The sequence below is a fragment of the Homo sapiens genome, chromosome 2, assembly GCF_000001405.40.
Source record: "Homo sapiens chromosome 2, GRCh38.p14 Primary Assembly".
NCBI classification, from domain to species: Eukaryota; Metazoa; Chordata; class Mammalia; order Primates; family Hominidae; genus Homo; species Homo sapiens.
Window position 1 is genome coordinate 121,137,668 of NC_000002.12, and position 4,143 is coordinate 121,141,810.

General features: G+C 42.6%; 1 long non-coding RNA gene across 1 annotated transcript; it reads right to left on the minus strand.

Moving 5' to 3' along the window:
- Positions 1–394: 394 nt before the first annotated feature.
- Positions 395–3,042, minus strand: LOC105373588 (uncharacterized). Its single transcript, XR_923269.1, has 2 exons — positions 2,958–3,042; positions 395–668 (listed from the first exon to the last, which is right to left on the minus strand). It is a non-coding gene; the product is annotated as an uncharacterized LOC105373588 (long non-coding RNA).
- Positions 3,043–4,143: the final 1,101 nt, after the last annotated feature.

Below are 4,143 nucleotides of genomic sequence, written 5' to 3' on the forward strand. Positions count from 1 at the left end.
GACTTCTTAGCCGTTAACAAACCTCTTTCATTGCAGTCACCATCTTTCAGGCCCGGGGGTCTGAGTTGTGTAGGGAAACAGATGTGGGCTTCAGATACCAGGCTCGACTCAGGGCATTTCATCCAACCACAAAAGGGCTGCTTTGAGGATACCGAGGCTCGGAGAGGTGAAAACACTGTCACAACTGCTTTGGTAGGAAATGGCAGAGCCAGGATTCAAACCCAGGTTGAGCAACACAAATCCCGTTACCCCTCTGCCCGTAAAACCCTCTGAGCATCTGGATCAACCCTCACATTGGACAGATGAAGAGACTGATGAAGAGACTGGAGGTGGGAGGTGACTTAGCCAGATATGAGTTCTACTTGACAAAAGTTTTTGGGTAAAAGAACTTTGATAGGGGCCTCTTGGTTTTAATAATCTCAATTGGTTTTTTAAAAGAAAAGAGAAGAGGCAAGAGAGGAGGAGGAGATTCGTTCCGAATCTTGCATAATACTGCCAGATGGAAAGAAGGCTTGCTGGTTCTTCTGCATGGATTGTACTTCTTCCACACCTTCACACGCTCGCTTCTTCATGTCCTTCCGTCACTGTTCAAACACCACCCCCCGGCATTTACCTCCTGAAATGGCTGCCCACTGCAAGACGTTCTCTGTTTATTTTCTTCTTAGCACCTATAAATAACATTTTTTTAGTTATATAATTTTAATTTATAAGATTTCATTATAATTTTAGTTACACCATTCTATTATATATTGGAGTATTTATATGTTTACCATTTTCTCTCCCACTAGAATGAGGGCTCTGTGAGGCGGGGACATTGTTTTGCTGTCCACCATCTCCCTAGTTCGTAGAACATTGCCTGGCCCATAGCAGACCCTCAAAAAATATTTGTTAAATGACCAAAGTGGAATTTTGCCAACCCATGGAAAATCCTGTGCCTTCACTGGAATAATTGATGACCACCACGATGATGTCTGCAGATCACCGAATTTCCCCCTACTGGTCTTTGGTTGTAAAACTAGGCACAGAATATCCCCAAACTTCCAAGTTATACTTAGCTGTATATATATATATGTGTGTGTGTGTATATATATATATATACACACACACACACATATATATACACATATGTGTATCTACATATATACACATATATACACACATATGTGTATATACAGAGAGAGAGACAGAGAGAGACAGAGAGAGAGAGAGACAGAGAGAGAGAGTTAAGCTGTTTCGATACAATGTGTGGTTTCTCTTCTCTTCAATTAAATTTCTGCACTTCAGACACGCTTCTAAGAACTGTGGTAGGATGTGCCCCATAGGCTCTTCACTTTACATCAGTAGTTCTTAGTTGGGGGTGATTTGGCAACATCTGGAGACATTTTTGGTTGTTGCCCCTGGAGAGGGATGCCACTGGCCTCTAGTGGGTAGAGCCTAGCAACACCGCCAAACATCCTTAATGCCCCACAACAAAGAATTACCTGGTCCAAGATGTCAGTAGTGCAGTAGTTAAGAAACCTGCTCCGCATTAACTCATAGCAGTTTTATTGAAACTTTGGTGAAAAAAACTGACTCAGTCATGCTCACGAACGAATGCATGAACATTTATTTAACTCTGTCTCTATGCCAGGAATTGTGCTAGGCATTGGGAAGACACCGTAAAAGAATAATACACAGTCTTACCCTGGAGAAATTCACCAACTCCCTATCTGGCCAGAGATCTGAAGTCAGATCTTCCTATTTCTACATGAGATTTCTGTTTGGGTAGGGCAGTTATATCTTGCTTTTTAGATAAAACAGCCCCAATGTTTTTCTTTTAAAAAGCTTTCCACATGCACTCATTTATGAGCTGTGTCTGATATCCATCATACCTCTGCCATCTTGGAAAATGGCAGTTACAATGGTTAATATCCCAGTGTAGCTCTAATGCATTGTATCATTGTTCCCAATTTTCCACACCTCCCTATACCCATCCTCTTTGCCGCGTGACTTGTGCTCATTCCCTCCACAGAAAGGATATCTTTCCCCACCCTATTAATGTTGGGCTTGGCCAGGTGCTTTGGCCAGTGGCACGTTAGCATATGTGATGCAAGCAGAAGCTTGAAATGTGTTTGTGAAATTGGGTTTGTTCTCTTGTACTTCTGCCATTTCCATGATGTGCTGGCCCAGGAATTATGGGAGACCAATACAGAAGACCTAAACTCCACCCTCAGCTTAGAGCCAAGCCCAGGCAGCCCGCAGCCTGGAGCAGAGCCACGCAGCCAACCTCAGCCTAAGTCAGCCGAACCTCAGTCAACTGCAGAATTGTAGCCATGAGAATAAGTACTTGTTGCTATAAGCCACTGAGTTTTGAAGTGGTTTGTTACACAGCATTGCTGTGGTGAGAACTGACTAATACAGTAGCTGTATTCACCCAAGGTACTGTGCACTTTTGTGGGTCAGAAACACAAACAAATGTCCAGATTATCTGAGCAGCTTTTCTGGGATAGTAAGCATAACTTACATTCATAGAACACAGTGTAGTTATTTTTACATGACATGTTATTGGTTTGCACCAAACACCCACAAGACAGGTAATATTTCCTCTATTTTACAGATGAAGATCATATTGTTCTTAGAAGATACATTACTTGCTTGAGATCACAAAGCTTTGCTTCCTTGCAAAAGGGACAGGTATAAGAAGAAGACTTGCATCCTCTTTCCACTTTTTCCTGGAGCTGAAGCAACCCCATTGCAACCATTAGATAGGTATCAGTTAGCTACTGCTGTGTAACAAACAACCTCAAAATTTGTTAGCTTGTAACAATAACCATTTATTATTGGTCACATGTCTATGTGTGAATTGTGGGTTCTGCTGACATGGTAGGCTCAGCTGATCTTGATTGGGCTCACTTATGCATCTGTGGTCAGCTGGCAAGTTGACCAGAAGCTGGCTGACTTAGAATGGGTGCACTCACATGTCTGGTGGCTGGCTGGCTGACAAATGGGACAACAATGAGTGACTTGGCCACTCCTCTGTCATCATTCAGCAGGCCAGCCCAGATTTTGTCCCATGGCCTAGGTTCCAAAAATAAGAGTGGAAGCACACAAAGACTCTCAAAGCCTGAGTTCCAGAACTCCCCATCAATGTCACCACATTCTATTGGCCAAAGCAAATCGTAAGACCAACCAGGATCCCAGAGATAGAATAATAGACTCCACCTCTCAATGGGAAGAGCCACTAGGTCATATTACAAAGGGCTGAATGAAGGAGGGGTGGAGGCCTGAGGTCATTTTTGTGGTCAGTTAATCTGTGATGAGGTGTCAAGCATAAGCAGGAAATGCCAGCAGGTGAAGGCTGGTGGCACATAGAGACAAGAAGAGTCTTTGTGAGTGACCTGAGACTTCCCGCTCCATTCCTTAAGTGTGTAATCAATAAGTGTCCTAGTGGATTCAACTTCTGCAGGATGGGTTTCGTGTAACCTGGAGCCAAAAGTTTTCCTAACTGACAGAGTGAGGCATGTGGTAAAGGAATGAGGAAGCAGGAATTACACAGGATTCAAATCTTATCTCCACCACGTATTAATTAGCTGTATGACCCCTAGCCCGTTATTTGACCTCTATGACCTTCAGTGTCCTCATCTATAGAGGGACATGGAAATACCTAGCAGATGCTTGCTGGAGGGACTAGAGATCAGGTGTGCAATATATTCTTAAGAGTAGTAATAGTGGCTTAGCCCTGGGCAAAGCCAAGCATGTGTTATACATTTTAACATTTAATTCCTTTATTACCTCATTAATACCTTTATTACCTCATTACCAACTCCACTTTTTTCCTACAAGAAATATGAAAATTAAAGAGTGAGTAAGTACAAAAGGATTTTAACCCAAATGGTTTGACTCCAGAGCCCCGTCTCCTACCCACGTTTCAATACTGCCTGCCACAACTGGGTCCTGCTGATTTACAGTTAAAAAACAGCTATCTAAACAATGTCCAAACAAACTGTCCAAAACAGTGGCTAAAATCAAATAAACCTGACCCTTCCAACTGCTGGCAAAGATAAAGAGAAACCGGAATTCTCCAGTAATTATGGTGGGAATGCAAAAAGGTACAGATACCATGGAAAACAGTTTGGTGCTTTCTCGAAAAGTTAAACATGCACT